This window comes from Homo sapiens, chromosome 5 (assembly GCF_000001405.40).
Source record: "Homo sapiens chromosome 5, GRCh38.p14 Primary Assembly".
NCBI lineage: Eukaryota > Metazoa > Chordata > Mammalia > Primates > Hominidae > Homo > Homo sapiens.
In genome coordinates this window covers 55,435,371-55,460,625 of record NC_000005.10, presented here as the reverse complement: position 1 = coordinate 55,460,625, position 25,255 = coordinate 55,435,371, and the positions used below count along the sequence as shown (strand labels likewise).

Sequence of the window (25,255 nt, the reverse complement as noted above, 5' to 3'; positions counted from 1 at the left end):
TTTCTTCTATGAGCTTTGGTTGTTTGTCTTTTAAGGGATTTGTCCATTTCATGTAAGTTGTCAAGTTTATTGGCATCAAATTGTTCATCATGTCATTATACTATCTTTGTATTGTTTGTAGGAACTGCAGAGATAGCCTCTCTTACATTCTTACTATTGATAATTTGTGTCTTATGTCTTTTTTTCTTGACTGATCTGGCTAGAAACTTATCAATTTTATTAACCTTTTGGTTAGTTTCAAGGGTTTCTTTTGATTTCATTGATTTTTATCTATTTTTTGTGTTCAGTTTCATTTATTTTTGCTTTTATTTTTATTTACTTTCTCCTGCCTGCTTTTAGTTTTGTTTGCTTTTCTTTTTTCTAGTTTCATAAAGTAGATGCTTAGATCACTAGCTGTGTCACAAATTTTGATATATTGGATCTTTATTTAACTGAAAATATAGTTGATCCTTAAACAATGCAGGGACTGGGGCGCTGACCCCCTGTGCAGTCAAAACTTCACATATAATAACTTTTGACTCCCCCATAACTTAACTACAAATAGCCTACTGTCGACTGGAAGCCTTAATAACGTAAACAGTCCATTAATGCATATTTTGTATGTCATATTTATTATATACTATCTTCTTACAATGAAGTGTGGTAGAGAAAAGAAAATGAGAAAACCATAATGAAGACAAAAATATGTATCTGCTATTCAGTAAGTGGAAATGGATCATCCTAAAGGTCTTTATCCTCATTTTCTTCACTGAGTAGGCTGAGGAGGAGGAAGAGGAGAGGTTGGTCTTGTCTCAGGGGTGAGGGAGGTAGAAGGGAGGCAGGAAAGGCAGGCATGCTCAATGTAGCTGTTATTGAAGAAAATCTGCATGTAAATGGACCTACACAGTTCAAACCTGAGTTGTTCAAGGGCTAACAATACTTTCTAATTTCCCTTGCGTCTTCCTCTTTGATCTGTGGATTATGTAGGGGATTTTGCATTTATCTTTCTGTCATCGATTTCTAATTTAATTTCATTGTGTTTAGAGAACATACTTTATATGATTAGAATTCTTTCAAATTAGTTGATTCCCATCCCCCTGGGCCCCCACATTTTTCACATACAGTCTATTCTGGAGAATGTTCCATGTGCACTTGAAGAGCATGTGTTTTCTGGGTGAAATGTTCTATAGAAATCAGTTTGGTCAAGTTGGTTGATAGTGTTACTCAAATCTTATATATCTTTACTGATTTTTTTTTAACCAACATGTTTTATGAGTTATTTTTTGGGGAGCTTGAAATCTCTAACTATAATTGTTGAATTGTCTTTTTGTCCTTTCATTTGCGTAAACTTTGTTTTTTTATCTTGTGGCCGTGCTGTTCAATATGTAGCACTTACAAGTGTCGTTTTTTTTTTCTGCTGTATTGCTCCTTTTTGGTATCAATGTATTTCTTTGTGTTTAGAAATATTCTTTGTTTTAAAGTCTATTTTGCCTGATATTAATATATAGTCACTCTAATTCTCTTATGCTTATTGTTTGGGTTATATATTTTTCTATAAGTAAAACTTTTAGCTTATTCGAATCTCTGAATTTAAAGTGTATCTTTTAGAGACAATATATAGTCATATCTTGCTTATTCTTTTTAATCCAGACTGAAAAATCTTTGCCCTTTGATCACAAATTTAATGTAATTACCAATATGGCTGGATTTTTCTGCCATTTTGCTATGTGTTTTTTTTTTTTTTTTTTTTTTTTTTTTTGGAGACAGGGTCTCCTCTGTTGCCCAGACTGGAGTGCAGTGGCATAATCTTGGCCCACTGCAGCCTCTGCCTCCTGAGTTCAAGCAATTCTCCCACTTCAGCCTCCCGAGTAGCTGGGATTACAGGCATGCGCCACCACGCCCAATTAATTTTTGCATTTTTAGTAGAGATGGGGTTTCACCATGTTGGACAGTGTGGTCCCGAACTCCTGACTTCAGGTGATCCACCCACCTTGGCCTCCCTAAATGCTGGGACTACAGGCGTGAGCCACCACGCCCAGCCTTGCTATGTATTTTCTATGTTTCGTCTCTTTGTTACTGTTCTTCCTATACTGCTTTCCTTTGTATGAAACAATTTTTTTTTAGTGTAGCAATTTAAGTATCCTACTGACATGTTATCTGTTTTTTTGGTTGTTTCTCTAGGGGTTACAATATACATCTTCATATATTTAATTTTTTTTTTTAAGGTTAATACATGACTAAGCTACAGGAAAAAAAAGCATATATGTATTAGTTTATTATTTACTTATAACCAAATGAAGAAAGGTGTTTATTTTCAGTGATCATAGATTAACCTGGGAGTTAACTATCTTCTTATTTTCTGGCATAAATATCCAAGCTTTTGCATGCTGACCATTTGTTACTCATTTTCATCCTTTTGGCATTCTTGTAACATAGGCATGGACAATAATATTGTCCCACTTTTATGAATAAAGAACTTGAAGCACAGTAAGGATTAGCATCTTGTTTTTGATTCTAGAAACTTAATAAAATGGAAGTGGGACTTCAGTATCAGGGTGTTGATTCTCTGTTTTGTACTTTTCCACCAAATGCCATGCCTATGTCTCTAATATCTCTCTTGGATCAACCAACATGTTAATAAGTTAGGCAGGAAAACTCTAATCTTTTCTCTCAGCCAGCAAATTTAAGAAAGTCATTGTGGTGATGAGTGTACCTAAAGTCTAGAAAATGTCATTGTAAATGATTTTTTTTTTTTTTTGAGACAGAGTCTCGCTGTGTCACCCAGGCTGGAGTGCAGTGGCGTGATCTTGGCTCACTGCAACCTCTGCCTCCCGGGTTCAAGCGATTCTCCTGCCTCAGCCTCCTGAGTAGCTGGGACTACAGGCGCCCGCCACCACGTCCAGCTAATTTGTGTATTTTTAGTAGAGATGGGGTTTCACCATATTGGCCAGGCTGGTCTCGAACTGCTGACCTTGTGATCTGCCCACCTTGGCCTCCCAGAGTGCTGGGATTACAGGCGTGAGCCCCCTTGCAAATTATTCATACATATATTATTTCTCTGGTTCAGGTACATAAATCTTATTTTGTTTTAGCTGAGAATTTTCTTGTGATATTTCTTATTGATGATATTTTTGTTTCTTGCACAAGCCATTTTGACAAAATGTGAAATATATTTATTTAAAATGGTATAAAAATAATTATTTTGTGATATATACATGTCATACTCATTCACTGTCTCTTCCTGGTGTATATAAATTGGCTGCCATATACTGTTACTTTGATTGCACTTTTAACCTAAGTATACTTAGGCTTTTTACCTATTTAAAATTTCTACAGCCATCCATATGCAAGTGTCCGCTTACAGTCCTGTGTAAGGGTTGGGAAAGCACCCTCTTTAAAAGCAGAATTAATTTTGGATAACTGAAATTGAAGAGCTATATATGTTGAAAGTAATTATTATTTATAGCTTTTTTTTTTTTTTTGGTCTGAGACGGAGTCTCACTCTGTCGCCCAGCCTGGAGTGCAGTGGTGTGATCTCTGCTCACTGCAACCTCTGCCTCCCAAGCTCAAGCGGTTCTCCTGCCTCAGCCTGCAGAGTAGCTAGGATTACAGGCCTGCACCACCCTCCCCGGGTAATTTTTGTATTTGTAGTAGAGACGGGGTTTCACCATGTTGGCCAGGCTGGTCTCAAACTCCTGACCTCATGATCTGCCCACCTTAGCCTCCCAAAGTGCTGGGATTATAGGCGTGAGCCACTGCACCAGGCCTGTTTATAGCTTTTAAGATAAGCTCCCTTAGTAAGCTTTGGGGTTCTGAAGCAAGGAGCAAGGAAAATCAAATATAGAAAAAGTTTTAGAAAGACTTTGTATCTTCCTAGAAAAATGTAATTTCCATCTGTCTTTCCAGAATGAGTCAGTTGTTGCCAATTTCAGAGCTGTATAATAGTGGTACATAACTGTGGGTATGCATTGCTGTTCTATTGTGGAGTGTAGTTTGGCTGGATACATACTTTCCTATTATTTTTCTCTTGAATTTTGAAAGTCAGAAAGCTAAAAATGCAAAAAATCCAGTCTAAATATTGTCTATAGTTTTTTAGGATTATAGTGTAATCTGCTCTTTTAACTTATGTATCTCTACAGCCTGCCACCATATAAGCTTTTAATTATAAAATTATGATGCTTGACATTGGGGAGAAAGGAACATAAGCACCCATAATGAGTCATTTTTGTTGACTGTATAAATGAGTCAGAGTTACATGTAAGGATGAGAATATCCTCCTACAATTTTGGTTTTTGATCTTGATTTTTTCCCATTGACTCTCTTTTCTCCCCGCCATTCTCTCTCTTGCACGTAGCACACTTTTGCGCTCTGTCTGCTATTACTGCTATTATAAACCTTTTACTGGACTTCAGTTGTAGTGACCATTAGGTCCTAAACATAGAACTAAGAGCATAAGTGGACTTTAATAGAATACTTATTAATTTTAATATCTAGAGTTCATAATTTAGAATTAATATATGAGAATTTACTGTAAATTAAAAGGGGCTATATACTTGCAATATTAGAACATCCAGTTATCTAGGACTGCCATTATTAATGCCAATGAGAATACCATTCCTCTAAGATTTTCTGGGGAAAAAAAAAGCTAATGAGCCCAGGTAGTTCACATCTGTAGCTCCCTTCCCAGGCCAAGATTCTCTTTAGATCCATGGCCCTTAAATTTTAATGGTTCATTAGAGTTATCTGGAGGGTTTATTAAAACACAGATTTGCTGGGCCACAACCTCAAGTGCCTGATTGAGAAGATTTAGCATGGGGCTTGAGAATTTGTATTTCTTCTAACAAGTTTCAGATGCTGCTCTTGATCTTGGCACCACAGCTTGAGAACTACTACTTTAGATTACCTGGATTATGAAAACATGACCTTGGATGACATCTACTTCAGGATACAAGGGTTTATATTTACCGTTAGGATGAATTTAAGGGCATACACAGCTAGCTAGTCTATTTGTTATTTTTAAAAAATTAAGACAGGGTCTTGCTCTGTAGCCTGGCCTGGAGTGCAGTGGTACGATCACAGCGCACTACAGCCTTGACCTCCCGGGTGCAACCAATCTCCCATTTCAGCCTCCCGAGCAGCTGGGACTATAGGTGCTTGTTGGCACCTATAGGTGCTGTTGGTGTAGCCACCATGCTTGGCTAATTTTTGTATTTTTTTTGTAGAGACAGGGTTTCACCATGTTTCCCAGGTTGGTCTTAAACACCTGGGCTCAAGCGTTCTGCCTGCCTCGGTGTCCTACAGTGCCGGGATTACAGGTGTGAGCCACTGTGCCGTGCCCGGCCTAGCTGGTCTATTTGTGATAGTACAGTATGGAAACTATTGGCTGCTTGAAGAGATTTGCTTTTTTTTTCTTTTTTTCTGGCTTTTATTTAAATTGTGTATGTTTTAGCACAGGCCCAGTGTTTCTGATCCATTCTGAGTAACTGATCTCTGGCTGTATGAATCAGATTTAAATACAAAATTATTTTTGTTTGGATTATGGAAGCCTTGTATTCTTCAGATGCTTACTTGCAGTATATATGATTGAATGTGAGAAATAAATTTCCTTTCTTAAATGCAACCCACATGCAGATAAAATAAAGCTGAAGTTTGAGGAAATGCCTTCTATCATAGGAAAACTCATTATAACTAGACTGGCTGGGTGTGGTACTTACGTACCTAGTACAACTGGCTTTACATTTTGAGAAAATGGCTGAAGAAGAATATGGTCTAATTGTAGACATTACTGGGTAAGCATTTATGATGCTAAAGGATTCATTTGTTAAGGCTTGTATTTCTCATGCATATGTATGTCAGTAACTAGACAGCTTTTTAAATCATATACCTGTGTAGGAATAGCAACATATGAAATGAAGAAGGGGATGATTTAAAAAGATCCTTCACTTTGTGAGAGGATATTATTATTGTATTTAACAGGAATGTGACTTAAAGATCAGTACCTCTTTCCAGCTTCCCTGTTCTTAATGTCAGTACCTGACAATTTAGGCTTGTAGGCAAAAAGCAGTGCTACTTAGTCTCCAGGGAATATGTGAGTAAGAAAACCAATAATAGCCCCTGAGGAGTACAGAAATTTGCTGTACCAAAATGGCCCCAGCTTCGCCTGGACCAGCTAATTTACTGACCAGTAACCTATTGACCTGTCTGGATCTTGATTTCCTGTGATGTCATTCTCTATTGAGCAGACAGACAGAAAAAGCTTTTGTTGATACAGAATTTCTAATGCCACTCTTCTGGGAGAATGAGGTTTGCAGAGACATTAGATAATATTATCTAATAACAGTACTGTTCGTTTATATAATAAACTTGGGAGATATAGGAGGGAGATATAGGATTGGCTAACTTTTATGTTTATATTATGTTAATCAATTATTTTTTCTTACATAATATATTGCAACTCAGAAGCAATGTTTTGCTTCTGGGGTAATGTTTATAAACTTTTGCATGTGAAGATGGGCAATTTGGAAGACTTTTGGTTTCTGGAAGAACAGAAATACTCCTGTAAAAATTGAGAAAATCTTCACATAGGCAGTGGGAAATAGAATTCAGACAGCCCCTAAGTCCTTTCTTCTTATGGTTTGTGGTTTGTTATTGTGCTGCTTACGTTTGTTTTGAGCATGTTTTTAAGACTTGAATTTTCTTTTTTTTTGAGACAGAGTCTTGCTCTGTTGGCCAGAGTGGAGTGCAGTGGCATGATCTCAGCTCACTGCAACTTCCACCTCCTGGGTTCAAGCGATTCTCCTGCCTCAGCCTCCTGAGAAGCTGGGATCATAGGTGTGTGCCACTGCACCCGGCTAATTTTTGTATTTTTAGTAGAAATGGGGTTTCACCATGTTGGACAGGTTGTTCTCAAACTCCTGAACTCAGGTGATCCTCCAGCCTTGGCCTCCCAAATTGCTAGGATTACAGGTGGGAGCCAACGGTATCCGGCCTAAGACTTGAATTTTAAAAAATTTATAACAGGATACATCTGTATTTAATCATTATGAATATTATTTACTCAGTTAATCTGACTGCCTTTGACCATAATGGAAAAAGAAATTTGAGGCATTTTGCACACATTATTCCAATACTTGCCAGATGTGTTGGGGAAGATGCATTAAGTTCTGCTTGTTTAAGCTAATGTTCTTTGACACTGCCCAAGATTTCTGACAAAAGAATGACAAGAGAGGGAAGTTAAACTGGACTTCCTAATGCTCCTCGGTTTTGATGAGGAAGTCCAAATTTCTAATCACTGAAAGGGGAAAATACATCAGGCAGTAAGGTGTCTAAATTAGATAACTTAGTGGCTTGATGTAATTTATTAGTATATAGCATTTAATTACATGATAAAGTATATTCCTTAGTTTTATTAATGTATTTTTATAACTGTCAAAACATAAGTTGTTAAAGTATACTTCTTGTGAAGCCATTTAAACTGATACTCGATGCATGTGGGTGGGAGAGAAGGTGAAATTGTTTATGACATTTAAATTTGAAAAGTGTAAGGATTATCTTGGATAATTAAATAAAACTTTATTACTCAATAGTTTAGATTCTACTTTAGCAAAAAAGGAAAAAAACCACATTGAATACCTACTCTATGTTCGATAATGCTGCAGGGTGTTAAGAGTATGACATGAATTAAGATGTGATCTCAATCAGGGAGGATGGGAGTTTGCCAGTAATTTTTCTTTTGTTTTGGTGTACCTTCTGATTTTTAAAAATAATTAACATATCTTATGCAACTAAAAATATACTGTCAAACCTATTTAAAACATCTTATTCTACCCAGCCTGCCCAGCTTTTGATGTAATTGGGGAAGAAGGTTCAGTAACAGATGATTTTAACATAACAGGTTGGGCTATGATTGATATGTTAATTGAGTGCTCTTCAGAGAAAGGGTGATCCATAAATTCAATCTAGATTTTTAGGAAAGGTTTCTTGGAGGAAACAGGGGCTGAATTGACTCTTAAGTAATAATTACCAAAGAGAGGTGTGGAGCTGATTTCAGGCAAAGGTGTTGAATAAACAACATGGAACAGATATGTTGGGAACTGTAAGTAGTGTATTACACTGTTTTGCATTGCTATAAAGGAATATCTGAGACTGGGTAATTAATAAATGAGGTTTATTTTGGCTTATGGTTCTATAGGCTGTGTAAGCATGGCACCAACATCTGCTTGGCTTCTGGTGAGGGCCTCAGGAAGTTTACAGTCATGGTGGAAGGTGAAGGAGGAAACAGGCATACCACATGGCACATGAGCGACAGGGAAAGAGAAGGTCCCAGACTCTTTTAAACAACCAGATCTCATGTGAACTGAGTGAGAACTCACTCATCACCAAGGGGATGGCACTAAACCATTCATGAGGGATCCATTCCAGTGATCCAATACCTCCCGCTAGGCCCCACCTCCAACATTGGGGATCACATTTCAACATGAGATTTAGAGGGGATGCCCATCCAAACTATATCAAGTAGTTTGTTGGCAAGTGATGGTTCTGGAGCTGTTGGGGCTTAGGAAGAGTGTGTTTACTCTTTGCTCAACAGTTTGTTCTAGTGAAGGACTTGAAGCAGGAGAGTAACAAGCTCATGTTTTTTTTCCTATACTTGTAAAAATTATTCAGCTTTCCACTCTTTAAATATACTAAAATGGGCACCTAAATGTTGTACGATAAGAATTGGTTTCTTTTCTCTAACAGCAGAAGGGCTTGGGATACTGAAGGAAATGTGACTTTTCTGCCTTTGTCTATTGGGTAAGTGGCTCATGCCTATAATCCCAGCACTTTGGGAGGCCAAGGTGGGCAGATCACGAGGTCAGGAGTTTGAGACCAGCCTGACCAACAGGGTGAAACCCCGTCTCTACTACAAATACAGAAAATTAGCCAGGCATGGTGGTGCACACCTGTAATCCCAGCTACTCAGGAGGCTGAGGCAGGAGAACTGCCTGAACCCGGAAGGCAGAGGTTGCAGTGAGCCGAGATCATGCCACTGCACTCCAGCCTGGGCGACAGAGTGAGACTCTGTCTCAAAAAAAGAAAAAAAAAAAAAAAGGTTTCTCTAAGTGAATTATTGTGGCACTGTGTTAGTCCTCCTGGTAACATGAGCTGTAGTGACATCGTCTGGTTTTAATCTTAAAGGAATAGGAGGTGACCTGTCTGGCAGCCTCCTACTGGGCTCTAATAATTTTACATTTGTGTGGGCTTTTGCCTTCTCTTGCCATTGGTGGTGTCTCCTTCAACTCAAATCTAAATTTCTGTATTGGCATAATACTAAAAACACTTTTATTGGTGTCTTGAGCGTTATCTTTCTTTTTTACTATCACGCCTGCCTAATTAAAACAAATTTTTTTTGTAGAGACAGGGTCTCACTGTGTAGCCCAGGCTGATCTCAAACTCCTGGGCTCAAGTGGGCCTCCCACCTTGGCCTCCCTAAGCACTGGGATTACAGGCGTGAGCTACTGCACCAGCTAAGGCTTATCTTTCTTGACCCTAGTCACCAAGAGTGATGATTTCATTATCTGCAGGAGGGTCATAAGTGGAGCCTACTGCCAGGTTGTAGTAGATGTTCTTGGCCTTGGTGTTGTCTTTTGGAGTGAGGGCTTAGAGTAGAAGTCTCAGGGTCTCGTTTCTAGTTAGCAGTCCTGCCTCTTAAAACAATAACAATGCGTACTTTAGAAAGTGATTTAAAATTGTCTCTTCCTTCTGTATTATTCTGAAAGAATTTACCTTTTAGCAAGGGAGTCTTCTTGTTCAGTGTTTTTACAAAGGGGATGGGTGGTGGGCAAGGTGTTACAGTTGCCTGCAAAGGAGTGACGCACAGTGTATCGTTCGTTTCATCCACCGCTTGTCCCTTGTTTCCTTTTTGACTGTAGTTTTACTGTTAGGTAAAGTGGCTTTGGTGATTTGGAGTATTTTTGTATGAGGTCATGAATTTTCCTTAATAACCAAGGAAACTTATGATCTTTCCTTCCCCTGGTTAGTAGTTGTATGTGTTTTACCCTTTTTGTCAGCAGCCTTCGTCACAGCCTCATCTCTCCTCATCTGTTACAGTAGTCACCAAGTTTCCCTGCTGAGAGTTTGGAAGCATTTCTTTCCCAGTCATGTTATTTTCAAGATATACCGAGTTCTGCTTTCCTTTATCTTAAGATTCTCAGCAACCTCCTATTTTCTAGATTCGTTTTTTTGCAAGATTCTTCCAGAAACAGAAGACACACATGATAACAAGTTCTAAATACCCTACACACATACCTACTGTGTCCTACATTTCCCCACTCTTTTTTCATTGTCCATGTTCCTGCTAGTTTCTCTCCTTTAAGGTTTATGACCTAATATCTGTAGATGTCAGTCACTCGGCATGTGATTCACAGATGTTAGTGGCTGTGGAGTGGTATTTGAGGAATTAATGACTAAAATAGAATAGTCACTTCTGTCTTATTTCAGATGGGTATGTGTCTCTCTATGTAATGTGGCTTGGTTAAAATTGACCTATATAATAGAGTAGCTTTAAATGGAAATGTATTAAAATAATTGTAAAAATAATTCAAGGAGTATATGACAGGATTTTTTGCTGCAAATGAAACAATTTCTCACTTTCTAGGTGGTTCAAGGAAATAAGATGAGTCTATATAATTTTTTGTTATATTATATTTTAGTTAATTTTGGTGGGGACCGTTTTATATTCCTTTACCATTTATTACCTTCATCTCTGTACCCTTTGGGAGAGGTACCCTGTGTTTCTTATAGTTCTAGACATTTCTAGAAATGTGATTTCTTTAAAAAGCCTCCCCTTCCTAAACATTCAGTATTTAAGTATATTTATTAGCTGCATTAGTTATAAAAATGGCAGAGTTAATTTACTGAATTTCAGGGTATCAAACATTTGAAGAAACATTTGAAGAAAATGCCTCATGTTGTAATTTGACTTCCTTTTAAATTATATGTATATTGTATATTTTTATTGGAAACAAAACATGCGGTATTTATAAATACATATATATGTTAAAACATTTTAACTGCAAGATGTGAGAACAGGGCCCGATTCACTGCTGGGTTCTGGGCATGAGTTTGTAGGTAGGGAGCTGTGTTTATACTCGGAGTAGTGGCACTTTTAGCCAAGAAACTCTTGGGGAAACTATTAGGAAGAGAAATGTAGACTGTGTGTGTGTATTTGGCGGGGAAGAGATTTGTAAGAAATCTGTAGCAGGCATGTCAGATATTTTGACAACCATTACTTTAAAATATTGTCACATATATATTATCCCTTTTACATCAAGTTGTGTTTCCAGTATTATCACCGTGTTATGTGAAAGTTTAGTTTAACCCCCATTTGATACCTTTCCCTGGAGCTGCTGTTAATAGTTTGTATTTCCTTTCAGTCATTTTGCTATGTATTTTTATATTGAATGTGAAATTGTATAGTTTGTGTGGATTAAATAAGTAACATTTAAAATATGTCTTGGAGACACAGCTTGTATCAGTTCACATAGAGCTATTCATTTTAGTTAATATGTTGTACAATCAGTTCTCCATATCTGTGGATTCAACTAACTGTGGATTGAAAATACTTGTGAAAAAAATTGCATCTGTACTGAACGTATACAGACTTTTTTCTTGCCATTATTCCCTAATCAATACAGTAGGACAACTATTTACATAGCATTTACGTTGTATTAGGTATTGGAGGTAATCTAGAGATGATTTAAAGTATATGGGATAATGTGTGTAGGTTATATGCAAATACTGTGTCATTTTATATCAGGGACTTGAGCATCCATGGATTTTGGTATCCTTGGAAGGTCCAGGAACCAGTTCCCCACAGATACCATGGGGCGACAGTATTCAGAATAATGCTAGTAGAATCGGCTGGGTGCGGAGGCTCATGCCTGTAATCCCAACACTCTGGGAGGCTGAGGTGGGTGGATCACCTGAGGTCAGGAGTTTGAGACCAGCCTGGCCAGCATGGTGAAACTCCATCTCTACAAAAAATACAAAAATTAGCTGGGTGTGGTGGCGCACGCCTGTAATCCTAGCTACTTGGGAGGCTGAGGCAGGAGAATCGCTTGAACCCAGGAGGTGGAGGTTGTGGTGAGCCAAGATTGCACCACGGCACTCCAGCCTGGGCGACAGAGCAAGACTCTGTCAAAAAAAAAAAAAAAAAAGGTGCTAGAATCTTCCTTGGGTCCTTGAGTTTCCGGCAGTGTTGCAGTAAACGTCTGCATTTCTCTAGGAGACATACCTCAAAGTGGAATTACTGGGTCACATAATACATTTTTCCTATGTTGATTGATATTTCCAAACCATCCTCCAGAAAGTGTGCAATATGAGAGTGCTCATTTTCTCATTCATCACCTACTTGATTCCTTAAGTATCTTAGATGTGAGATTCTTGTAGATAATAATCTGATATCTCATTGCCAAATCATTTAGCACAGTTATCGATTGTCAAAATCTTTCTGAAATAAACTATGACTAATATACTTAGGAAAAGTTTATGTTCATTAAGAGGTCATTGCTCATATATCCATTTGTAGCATTTGTACAGGACATTTTAACTTTTTTATAGGATCAGTCCATGTTTACAGATTATCAGAGAGGGGAACTTATGCTATACTTCAGGTTAATCTGCTGTTATATAAACTTTATAATCAGGAAATAACATTTGAGAAAATGCCTCGTTATGGTTTGATTTCCTTTTTTTTGCATTTAGAGTGTACAAAAAAGACAAATTGGTATTCACTTAAAATGATTATTTACTGAACTCTAGCCTGAGTGACAGAGCGAGACCCTGTCTCTAAAGAAGACAATTTTTACATTGACAACATCTATTTCTTCATGGATTAAGTCTAATTTCTTCTTCGTATATTTACTTTACACATTTTGCCACATGTAAACTGTACTTTGTGATGGAACTCCCCTGCCTGGAGATGGCAGGATTAAAGTTCCTCTTTGTCTGTCTACCATTGACAAGAGTGAAATCATGGCACAGAAAGAGTTGGGAAGACTCAGATTTGAGCTGCAGAGACGTGACTTTTCGAGCAAGTTACTGAACCTGTCTGAGAATCATTATCTCTGTGTGAGCACGAGAGTTTTTGTGAAAGTAGAAACGCTGTGTATTAAGTACCTGAACATACTCAGTAACTTGTAACAATTATAAGTCTTTAAACAACCTTTCTGCCTTATAATGCTTTGGGAATCAATTTCAGGATGATTTTTAGGGGAAAAAGGAAATTCTAATTTGTAGCAGAACCAACTTTGGCATACCTGGGGGAAATGGTGGTATAGTAATAATTTGAAACATTTTTGAGCATTGGTCACTGTATAATTAAAAACAAACCGCTGTTGCTGAAACTATTTTGTCTGTTAGTAAAGTGACTGATTTTAGATAGCATTTCATTAGTTCTAAGTGTTCTTTTAAAAAAGCCTGCTTCTATTTCTGGTAACATGGAGGATTAGAAGTGCCTACTGATAATAGTTCAGCTAAACGTGCTACATGATACGTTACACACACACTTGTGTATACTGTATCTTAAATTATATATACACATCTTGAAACACATTTAAGTGTTTTTAGTAAATAGTTTAGCTGGTGGGAGAGTAAAGGGATTTTTCTGAGGCCTGCGTCAGTTAGTGCTGTAGATCCAGTGTGGTCCTTGAAAGTATCTGCCGGTTCCTGGTGGCATAGACACTGAGTTTTGATAGGCAGTGAACATGGGGCACAGATATAAAGGCTGAGGCCGGGGAAGAGGACATAAAAGACATGTGGATAATGTGAGAACTCCCGAAGAGTGGCAGCATCCTCCCCGTGGGAGCTATTAAAAAGAATTCTTAAACACAGGACCACACTCACACTGGTCTGGAGCAAGAATTCATACTATTTGGTTTAGGAAGGAAAAGGAAAAAAAGCTTGAAGTTTAAAGTGTATTGGTAGTGAACCCAGCATAAGTGAACACATACCTTCTCTGGAGGAACTCTCCTTAAACCAAGGCTCAAAGATTCCCCTCAGATAGAGTCCTAATGACTTCATTCTAATATAAATGGACCTATGTGGAAACAAGCTACCCTGAGACAGTCAGCAAATACAACAAATTACCTAAACTCTCAAAGAGATTACAGATATTAGAATTACCAGGTGTAGACTAAAATAAGAGGAGATAGAAAATATGATGTGGGATGAAGAGAATCAAAGTTGGCCAAGTAGGTTTGGAACCAAAGGGATTTGTAAATGATACATATATGGTAATTTAAAATTTACAGTGTAACATATTGATTAAGCAGATTAGATACAGTGAAAGGGATGACAAAATGAAAGATACACCTAAAGAGACCTAGATGAAAAATAGAGAAGAAAGGGTAAGAGATCTGGAGGAATAGAATGCAAAGGTCTTACGTGTTGAATCAGCATCCCATAGAAAGGTACGAGGATGGAGGATGCCCAGTATGCAAAGGTGGCTGAGGACTTCTACAAATTGGTGAGTCCTCAGATAGAAGAAGCCAATGAATACTAAACTAGAGCAATAAAAGGAAATCCTAGTACTAGACACAATGCAGTAAAACTAGAATATTGATTGATGGGGGCAGGAGGAGAGGAAGCAGTTACAGAGAAAAGACAGATTACCCAGAAAGAACTGGCTGACAGATGGCTTATATTTTAACAGCAAAAGCAGAAGCCAGAAGATAGCGCAATGATAGCCTCAAAGCGATGAGAAAAAAAGTCATCAATTTAGAATTCTGTACTCAGGAATACCATCATTCAAGAATGAATGTAGGCTGGGCACAGTGGCTCATGTCTGTAATCCCAGCACTTTGGGAGGCCGAGGCAGGCAGGTCACTCGAGGTCAGGAGTTTGAGGCCAGCCTGGGCAACACGGTGAAACCCTGTCTCTACTAAAAATACAAAAATTAGCCAGGCATGATGGCAGGCGCCTCTAATCCCTGCTACTTGGGAGGCTGAGGCAGGAGAATTGCTTGAACCCAGGAGGCGGAGGTTGCAGTGAGCTCAGATTGGGCCACTGAACTCCAGCCTGGGTGACAGAGTGAGACTCTGTCTCAAAAAAAAAAAAAAAAAAAAAAAAAAAGAGTGAATGCAAAATAAAGATATTTCAAATGAAAACAGCTAAAGATGTATCTGTTTTGTGCTTTTTAACTTTGGAGAGTAGGGAGGAGGAAAGGAAGAAAGTCAGGTGGTGGGAAGAGATCAGAGATGATCAGCTGGGTTCTTTGTGATTTAACCTCCTTCTGAGCCCCAAAATACTAAATTAAGATATGCTTTATATGAGTTGATTGCTTTTGATGCTGATGAAGGATGGATTTGATTGTGTCTTTGCGATTTATGAGGCTGAACATGGATGTGGATGTTGGAGCACAGAGATAGAAGAATGCTCAGTCGAGGAGGGAACTCACATGCATGGGGGCAGGCGGATGCAGGCAGATGGCTATGAATGCTCTCAATGCCATGATATTGGGGATCAGGCCAAGTTTAATCAGCTCTGAGAAGGGGGTGCCCTGGCTGGCAAATGTGAGGAAAAAAACATCATAAAGTTGCCATTTGAAATAGAATCCCAGGCTAGGCGCGGTGGCTCACGCCTGTAATCCCAGTACTTTGGGAGGCCGAGGCGGGCAGATCACCTGAGGTCAGGAGTTCAAGACCAGCCTGGCCAACAGGGCGAAACCCCATCTCTACTAAAAATACAACAATTAGCTGGGCGTGGTGGTGCGCACCTGTAGTCCCAGCTACTCAGGAGGGTGAGACAGGAGAATCACTTGAACCCAGGAGGCAGAGGTGGCAGTGAGCCAAATCACGCCACTGCACTCCAGCCTGGGTAACAGAGCGAGACTCCATCACACACACACACACACACACACACACAAAATAGAATCCCATTCATAGTGATTTATGTAGTCAAAATCAGTTTACTTAATAATTGAAGCTGGCTTATTGTTCAGTAGACCACCCCTCAGAGTCAGTGAAAACAGCAGCATTTCAAAATACATTTTTCTCTCCGTAAATTTTCTTCCTGAGAAGATTTTCGTAAGATTTGGTTGGAAAGCTGGCTCACATTGTTACTGTACTGTACTTGCCTTCATCAGAGAGGCTATAATGAAGTGAGATGATAGTCTAGGATTGGTTAAAATCTAGAATTGGTTAAAGTCTAAGGGCAGGGTTCTTAGGCCAGGGCCATAGTCTTAAACATTTCAGTGAAGTCACTATGATGAAAACAAACTGCATTTGGGGCCGGGCGCGGTGGCTCACGCTTGTAATCCTAGCACTTTGGGAGGCCGAGGGCGACGGATCACATGAGGTCAGGAGTTCCAGACCAGCATGGCCAATGTGGCGAAACCTCGTCTCTACTAAAAATACAAACATTAGCTGGCACAGTGGTGCAAGCCTGTAATCCCTGCTATTAGGGAGGCTGAGGCAGGAGAATCGCTTGAACCCGGGAGGCGGAGGTTGCAGTGAGCCAAGATTGCACCACTGCACTCCAGTCTGGGCAATACAGTGAGACTCTGTCTCAAAAAAAAAAAAAAAGCATTTGGGCTACTCCTTGGGATTTATTAAACCACCCATACAGATATTTAGTCTATTTGTGAATTCTGGTCATAATAAGATATCCTTAAGAGCTGTATCTACTAAAGACTCCGATAAAGAGTTAGATTTATATGGAATATGAATGCTTTGAATTTCCATTGTTTTGTGCTTTATTCTGTTTGCTTAATAGAAATAAAAGACCATATTATGATCTGTTTGTTAAATTACTATGGATAAAGACATAGACACTGAGATTGAATAGAATTACCCCTTTGTTTTTAATCCCTGTCTGTCAAAGTCATAGCCAGACTTCTTCACAAATTCTATACTGAATAAAATATCTGTTTTTGTATTCAGTGTAAAAAATGGAAACCAACAAATGAAATCATTCTATGGCTGATTCAGAGCTGTTTAAAACTATTACCTAAATTAGTTTGCAGTTCATGATTTTATAGCACAGTGTAAAGGATTTAGTGAGACCTCACTTGCTTGGCTTTGAGAATATTTCTGTGATTATGGATATGTTGGCTTGGTGGGCTTTGACAATCCTTGAAATTGGCTTTTATTAACTTGTAGGCTCTTCAATAAAACATTGAAACTATAAAATATGCAGAGCTGTGCTCTAATTATCTGATTTAAAATTACTATTCGTATTGATCCATTCTGTGTGGTCAAATAGCAAGGTTAAAAAGTGATTTATTTTTCTTCCTTTACGTAGACTAAACCCAGAATAATTATTGGGTTTAATTACATAATTCCTGGTTGGCACAGGAATTTACAGAATTCTCTTTCTTAGGCATGTATCTGATTACAAAAAGACAATCAAAATTCTTGGTAGAATCATATATATGTGTGTGTGTGTGTGTGTGTGTATATATATATATATATATATTTTTTTTTTTTTTTTAAGTAATCCTTTCTTTCCCACCCACTGGCAGCTGCCAAACATACACACGTGACTTTCCAGTATGTGTGTGAGGAGGTTTCTCTCCTGTCTGAATTCAGGGAACCAACGTCTCCCTTAAATTCCTTTTGAACAAGGCAGAGTGTAATAAGTAAATTACTTAAGAGCCGGTCCCTCTTGTTTTTGTTCTTATTCTTACGTAGGGAAAAGTGGTTGGGAGATGCATTCTAGTTATTTGCATGAGCATCTTTTCGTGGCATACTTTCACTGTGCCTGATGTGCTTGCCTCTTCTGCATCAGTGGCTCATTCTGTATAAGCAAATCTTAGATCTTTAATGTTAGCTCTATTTTTCTTTTCTCAGAAGTGCCACAAAATTAAGTTTTGTAAGCATTCTGTCATTTTTAGGTGGGGAAGATGATACTTAGATGTTTATAGACTCTAATATTGAAAGAAACAAAAGCACTGAATTTGGTGGGAAATGTAAGGCAAGATGTGTGCCCATTTAAAACACCAAATTTTTTTTTTTTTGAGATGGCGTCTCCCTCTGTCACCCAGGCTGGAGTGCAGTGGTGCGATCTCGGCCCACTGCAGCCTCTGCCTCCCAGGTTCAAGCAATTCTTCTGCCTCAGCCTCCCGAGTAGCTGGGACTACAGGCACACGCCACCACGCCCGGCTAATTTTTGTGTTTTTAGTAGAGATGGGGTTTCACCATGTTGGCCAGGATGGTCTCGATCTCCTGACCTCGTGATCCGCCCGCCTTGGCCTCCTGAAGTGCTGGGATTACAGGACTGAGCCACTGCGCTGGGCCAAAATACTAAAATATTAATATGGATGGAAAAAAGCAATCAACTTCTGAGTGTTCCCAAGGAGGTATGACATTATTCAGGGACTAATCCTGCAAGTGGAAAATAAAACTTAAATCATGGTCACATAAGTGTGTATGTAATAAAGTCAAGGCAATTTGTGCCAGTTATGACTTGTCAAGTATCATTCTTCTGACATCTTAGAATTGCTTGGCAAGTTTATTTTCATGACACATTACCCATCCTGAAGGTTTCAATAAAATGATACTGTATAGAGATCTGACCTCAGATCCTTCTTGCACTCTTTAATGTTCATGTCCTAATTGTCCCCCTGCCGTACCCTTCTAATTTCTCAAAGTAGAGGGAGGCAGTTGTGTACACTCTGAAACTAAGGAGCAGATTTATGAAATCAACAATACTTTTGGCTCCTAAGAGAGAAAAGTAACATTTGTCTTCTTTTTCTTCCAGGTTGTCCTTCTATTCAGGCCACTCTTCGTTTTCCATGTACTGCATGCTGTTTGTGGCAGTAAGTACTTTGTGTCTGTTGACGGTTAGGTTATGTGCTGCATGGAATTAATGTGCTCAGCATCAGTGTCCTCACCTGTCCTAATAAATTAGCCAGTAGCAAAAGGTGAAACAGATGATCTGCAAATCTGTAAGTTTCATACTGAGAAGTAGTTGATGTGTGCCCTTACTTTGGGACGTTTCCTGAAGTGGTTTTCTGGAACACAGCTTCTGTGTAATCACAGCAGGTAACTAATCTGAAGGACTGGGACAACAGGCTGCTGTTGCTTGTTAACCTCCTCCCTAACTGGGAGCCACTCTCCTCATCTGCTCAGTGTGGGCGAACAGCAGCAGAGCTTCTTTCCTTCTGGGCTCTGCTGTGGTGAGGAGTTGGGTTTTGATCATTGTTAAGTGAAGGCAGCTGTCCTTGTTCCTATTTGAGCAGATTTTGTTTTCCTCCCATTTTCTAAAACATTCCCAGAGTGCTCTGCAAGGGACCAGAAAGGTTTCAACTGCTGGGAAAGGCAGTTGCCACTTCTGGAGCCTGTCATCTATACAACTTCCAGGTCCAGTTCTGATGCCAACCTGTAGAGCAGCAGCATAGCAATTTGCATTTGCATCATACAAAGCTGGCAGTGAGGCCTTACGAAGATTTGCACCCACATTTTGCATTATCAAACTAGAGATGAATATGTAGTTTTTTGAGAGTAACTAATGCAAGACCAGGCTTCAGGACACATTCAAGGGATTTTTAAAGGTCAATTTTACTTGATTTTTATTTTTTTATAATGTTCTCTTTACATATAAAGTATTAATAAAACACTATATATTTGGGTGTATTAATATGTCCTGCATTATCATTATTTAGGGGGAACAGAGAGGAGGGTTAGAAAATCTGTACCCTAATAGATCAGCTATAATTTTTGTCTTAATTTTCTTTATAAGGGGATTTTTATACAGTTGTGTTCTGTGTAAATTTGTCATTTCCTGTGTTTTTCCCTTTGATCACATTAAGTGCCGTATGATAATTTAATGCTTAGACTTAAAATGCACAATATGTAACATTAAGGGTAAACTAATGGGAATTAGTCTCAGAGATAATTTAAAATGTTTTACTAGAATCTTGCTTTTATTTGAAAAAACAAATTCCAAACATTAAAAGAATATGTAAATTGTAGATGTGTTATATAAAATTCAAAGTCAGAACCTCAAGCCATTACAACAGCTAATTTTCAAAGCTTTCATCTTACATTAATTAAATTTTGTGAAGAAGCACAGAGTATGATTCAGCAGAATTTAGGGCTTCCTTTTTAAGACACACACTCAAATGTTTCTGCAGATGCAGCATGGAAAATGTGACTTATCTGAAGGTAGTTAGCAGAAAATACTATTCTGACATCTTCTGTTCATTTATCATATTAGAAAAAAATCAGCATTCTTTCTTAAGTGAGACAACATATTTTTTTCTTTTTAATTAGAGCACGAGGACCAGGGCAGACCCGGAAGGCTGAGCAATAGCTAGAGCCGTTACTATCCTGAGAGCTCTTCCCAGAGCATGGGCCTGTGACTGGACTGAAGGGCGTTTGAATGTGTGGGCGTGCTTTGTATGCCCTGGGCTAGACCTCACTAGGTCTAGCTTTTGTCTCACTAGCTATTGTGGTTTGTTTTTCGCTCACCTGTCTGTGTTAGTGTCCAAGTCCCTCTTTATGAGAAATCTAGAAATCTGAGTTTTGATTGATCTTGATGATGATTTGCATTTTACACTACTTTTATTTTTGACTAAATTTCCATGAAAAGATGAGGGATGACTGCCACTGTTTTACAAGTGAGGGAATAGGCACCTTGGGAGGGGGCTGCTGAGTTCTGTGAGCTCTGTGGGGTTTCTTGATAATCAGGATCCCATGCTGTATTGATTGATTGATTACTTGGTCTGAACCCTAGTCCATTTATTTTGAAGGTCAGCTCATGCAGATCTCTGGAAGTAAAATGGCATTCTGGAAGTGACTGACACATAACTTTGACCCACTGTTTGTAATTTTAAAGAAAATTCTCAGCTATAACATATTCCATACTTCATCATTTTCTGCTCTTCTTCCTTGACCCTTCTCAAAACACCCATTAACGTCTGTGTAATTGGTCAAATAGTAACTTGTACTGAGGGCTGTTTTGTGAAAGATTAAAATTACTATAGAGAGGATGACATTGATATAATAGAGGGCCTCAGTGGCAGGCCTGCTCAGTGGACATGCAGCCACATATGAAGGATATCAACTCGGGAAAATGATGTCAACCATAGTGTGGTAATTGGGTCAGTTTGAACCAACTGTGTTAAAAGAACAACTTTAGATAAATTTAAGGGTGTCACTGGGCAAGGAAGAAACGACTTTCAAATTGGGCAGCCCTCAGAGTCACTGCAGATTCAGAATGACTCCACTGCTTCTAAGTGGTCAGGGAGAATTTATGGACAGAAAAAGGAAAGTGAGTACAGAAAATGGAAGCGAGGTGCAGAAACTGCCGGATTGGTTACAGCTCGGCCTTGGAGCTTTATTTGAGCGTGGTTTGAATGGCTGTGAGTGGTTGAAATATGGCTGCAGGGACTGGCTGAGACTCAGCTGCTGTTACAGAAGCACATTCCTGAGTCAGGCTCCCAGTTTGCTTACTTACCAAATTAGGTTGTTCTTTGTACAGAAGAACTCAAGTATGTGAGCAGGGGGTTTTCAGGACAGATTTTAGTTTGATTTAACAGATGTAAAGTTATAATGGCAAAAAAAGAAGCCTAGATAAATAGATTTGTTGTAGACCAAGACCTTTCTGGAGAAGAAAGCAGGCCAGAGCAACCATGCACTGCATTTTACTGACTCTAGGTAGTGGAAATATTTGCTTGATGTGGATGTAGGCCCCAGCTTTTATTTCAGCCCTGAATACACAGATCCTTGCTTTTTACATTTATGTACAACTTTTTTTTTTTTTTTTAGACGGAGTCTTGCTCTCTCACCCAGGCTGGAGTGCAGTGGCGCGATCTCGGCTCACTGCAAGCTCCACCTCCCGGGTTCACGCCATTCTCCTGCCTCAGCCTCCAGAGTAGCTGGGACTACAGGCGCCCGCCACCACGCCCGGCTAATTTTTTGTATCTTTAGTAGAGACAGGGTTTTACCGTGTTAGCCAGGATGGTCCCAATCTCCTGACCTCGTGATCCGCCTGCCTCGGGCTCCCAGTGTGTTGGGATTACAGGCGTGAGCCACCGCGCCTGGCCTATGTACAACATTTAACCTCTAAGCCCCACCCCCGAATTCCTTGAGCAATGACTCATCTTGTTTCTCTGGGCACCTTGGCTTCATGAGTCAGTCTCAGATTTGGGTAGAGACGTAGTCATTTAAATCCTCTCCTAGGACAGTCTTTGATAGCCAAAACTTCTCTGTCAATTCCTGACACCCAGAAATTAACTTCTAGTTAAAAATGGCTCTTAAAACACCCTGACCATTGTTCTTCTCTGGCAGCCAGTGCAGCCCTGCACACTTAACTGTGCCAAGAGAGTGTCAGCATCAGTGAAAACCTCCCAGGCCTGCGGGAGCTCAGGGCAGGGCTGCTTTGCACATAGCCAGTTTATATGCTTAGTGACTCCCCGTGAACTTGGCTGAATGCCAGAGATTCCAAATTTATTTGATTATTCAGGAGAACAGCCATGGTATGAGTCTGTATTTTCTTTCAATACAGTGAGGAGTGTTAAAATACTTTTCCTGAGACCCTTCTATTGAGGCTGTAACCCCAGATTGTTTATATCACCGCCTGTTATGAAATTCCTGTATCTATGCTTCAGCCAGACTCTCCTCCTGCCACAAAATGCCTCTTATCTGGGCCTTGCCCCTGCCCTGTGTTTAGACAGTGCTGCCCACCTATCTAAATCCACTCAGACTCTTTCATACTATCCACTTTCCTTAAGATTCATATAATCCCTCATTTAGCATTCACTGTATACCTCCTAGCATTGTTGATACTTCGTGATGTTTTCCAAACTTGATTATTGCTGAACATTGGGCAAATGATGAACAACTCATGGCCCATAGCCTACGAACCTTGTCTGATTTTGAGGTGGGATTTAAGATCTAAATTTAGTGCCTCAGTGAATCCTAAAAATGGTGAAATTAAAACCCAAAGAAGACTAAACTGAGGCCTGCTTTCCAGTGTTCTTCTGGACAGATCTGTCATCAAATGTAGGTGGAGCAATCAATTTGGCTTGCCTGGCTAGTCATAAAAGCACTATTTCAAAATAAGTAGACCAAGGTATATTTCTTTGCATTGAGCCTGCTGTTGTTAGTCTAGTTCTGGGGTTGGTATTTTTTTTTTTTTCAGTGAAAGGTCAGATAATAAATATTTAGGCTTTGTAGGTCACATATTCTTTTTTGAAAAAACAAACAAAAAAAACTCCTTAAAAATGTTCTTAGCTTGCAAGCCAACCCCTTGACTCTAGTTTAAAATGGAAAAAAAAAAGTTCTTACTTTATTAACAATAGAATATTCAGAGGCTATGAGACAATAACAACATTTTACAGTTAAGAAGTGTTAACAAGATTAGTCAAGGAAAGGCAAAATCAAAACAGCTTCAAAAAATATCTCGTTCAACGATTATTTATTTTAAAGGTGAGATATTCTAATTAGATCCTTTAATGGAAGTTAAATGTTTCAGAAATTTCAACCAAAAATGGTTATATATCCTTCCTGTCTTAGTTTGGGCTGCTATAACCAATTGCAGCAGACTGGGTGGTTTATAAAAAACAAATTTCTCAGTCTGGAAGCTGGAAGTCTAAGATTAGGGTGCCAGCATGGTTGGGTAATGGTGGGGCCTTCTTCCAGGTTGTAGAATGTCCTCACACAGTGGAAGGGGCAAGGGAGCTCCCCTGGATCTCTTATTAGGTCATTAATCCCTTTCATGAGGGTTAACCCCTTATGACCTAATCACCCACAAAAGTCCTATTTTCCTAATCCCATTGCCTTGTGGGGGTTAGGCATTCAGTATACAAATTTTGGGGTAACACAAATATCCAGGCAATAGCACCACCCTTCAGTGATAATGAAAGAATGCCTAAGTAGTATCACAGATGTTGAATTTTCTAGTTTCTTTTAATATTAATTTTTAAACAAAAGAAAAAATGGGCATACCTTGTAATTTGTTCCTGATGTGGCTCTGTGTAATGAAGAGTCTTCCGTTTGTTTTGACCAGGTCTTCTTTGTGCACTTTATAAAACTATCATGAGGCTCTTCACAAGCGGAGCCACACGTTTTGGAGTGTTGGTTTATTAGTCTGTTTTCATGCTGCCGATAAAGACATACCCAAGGCTGGGCAGTTTACACAAGAAAGAGGTTTAATTGGACTCCCAGTTCCCCGTGGCTTAGGAGGCCTTACAAGCATGGCGGAAGGCAAGAAGGAGCAAGTTACATCTTACGTGGATGGCGGCAGGCAGAGAGAGCTTGTGCAGGGAAACTCCACCTTATAAAGCCATCAGATCTCGTGAGACTTACTATCACAAGAACAGCATGGGAAAGACCTGCCCCCATGATTCAGTTACCTCCCACTGGGTCCCTCCCACAACATGTGGGAATTCAAGATGAGATTTGGGTGGGGACACAGCCAAGCCATATCATTTGGGACTGGGAGGAAGGCCTCTGTGCTTCTCAGTGAAGCATTTGCTGCCTGCAGGTGGAATGGCCAGCTTTCTGCAACCCTCCTTTCTGGGCTTGAACACCTGGTTATTTTGAGCAATGTGATGCTTGGTGTCCTTATTGCTCTAAGAAATAGGAAATTGCTTGTATGAATCTCTAGTAATATCCCGGCTAAGAAGTTTTTTTTTTTTTTTTTTTCTCTGAGACAGAGTCTCACTCTGTCGCCCAGGCTGGAGGGCAGTGGTGTGATCACGGCTCACTGCAACCTCCGCCTTCTGGGTTCAAGCAGTTCTCCTGTCTCAGCCTCCCAAGTAGCTGGGACTACAGGCGCACACTGTAGTACAAAGAGACAGGGAGGAATAGAAATAGCCTAACTGTGGTTTCCTTCTGAGGCGTCGGGGTTGCCATATGTTGTGTTCCTGTGGTATTTGTATATCCAGCCCATTTTAATAGATGAAAATGGGGGAGGGAGGAGTGTGAAGGTCAGGCGAAGAATATGATGTATCTTTGTTTTTCCTATTAATCTTCATTTAAAATTTGTGTGTCCTGGAAACCCATGTCTCTTCCTTTCCAGTTCTAGAGTTGTGTTCCTGTACGTTACAGCAGGGATCACACTAGTGGCACACTCAAGTGTTCTTTTGATAAATGACATTTACTCTTGATGTATATCAGGATAGCCTCCAAATTTGGGAGCAGAGACTATAAATACTAGAAATAGTCATCCTTTTTAATCAAGGAAGGAAAGCATTTTTTGGTATGGGCAGCTGACTGGAGATTCTTCCGCATCCATTCTCCCTGTTACCAGGTGATCTCTTGTATTAATACCTTTTAAAAAGCCCAGTTAC

General features: G+C 39.3%; 1 protein-coding gene across 4 annotated transcripts in view, besides 2 other annotated features; it reads left to right on the top strand.

The window, feature by feature from the left end:
* The window catches only part of PLPP1 (phospholipid phosphatase 1), a 110,111-nt gene that overhangs the window by 74,339 nt on the left and 10,517 nt on the right, over window positions 1-25,255 (top strand). For all 4 annotated transcript variants that reach the window (NR_103485.2, XM_006714724.4, NM_003711.4 and 1 more), the window contains one exon: window positions 18,718-18,775. Coding sequence is in view for 3 of the 4 variants with exons in the window: in XM_006714724.4 (XP_006714787.1) it covers window positions 18,718-18,775 (58 nt within the window). In the remaining variant the exon portion in view is untranslated. The remainder of the gene's footprint in view (window positions 1-18,717; window positions 18,776-25,255) is intronic.
* Window positions 18,633-19,171: an enhancer, noted in NCBI's record as "NANOG-H3K27ac-H3K4me1 hESC enhancer chr5:54737283-54737821 (GRCh37/hg19 assembly coordinates)". NCBI's record gives its function as "activates a minimal SCP1, AML or CMV promoter by ChIP-STARR-seq in naive H9 embryonic stem cells {active_cell/tissue: H9 hESC(naive)}" and the evidence as "EXISTENCE:reporter gene assay evidence [ECO:0000049][PMID:30033119]".
* Window positions 21,662-22,489: an enhancer, noted in NCBI's record as "H3K27ac-H3K4me1 hESC enhancer chr5:54733965-54734792 (GRCh37/hg19 assembly coordinates)". NCBI's record gives its function as "activates a minimal SCP1, AML or CMV promoter by ChIP-STARR-seq in naive H9 embryonic stem cells {active_cell/tissue: H9 hESC(naive)}" and the evidence as "EXISTENCE:reporter gene assay evidence [ECO:0000049][PMID:30033119]".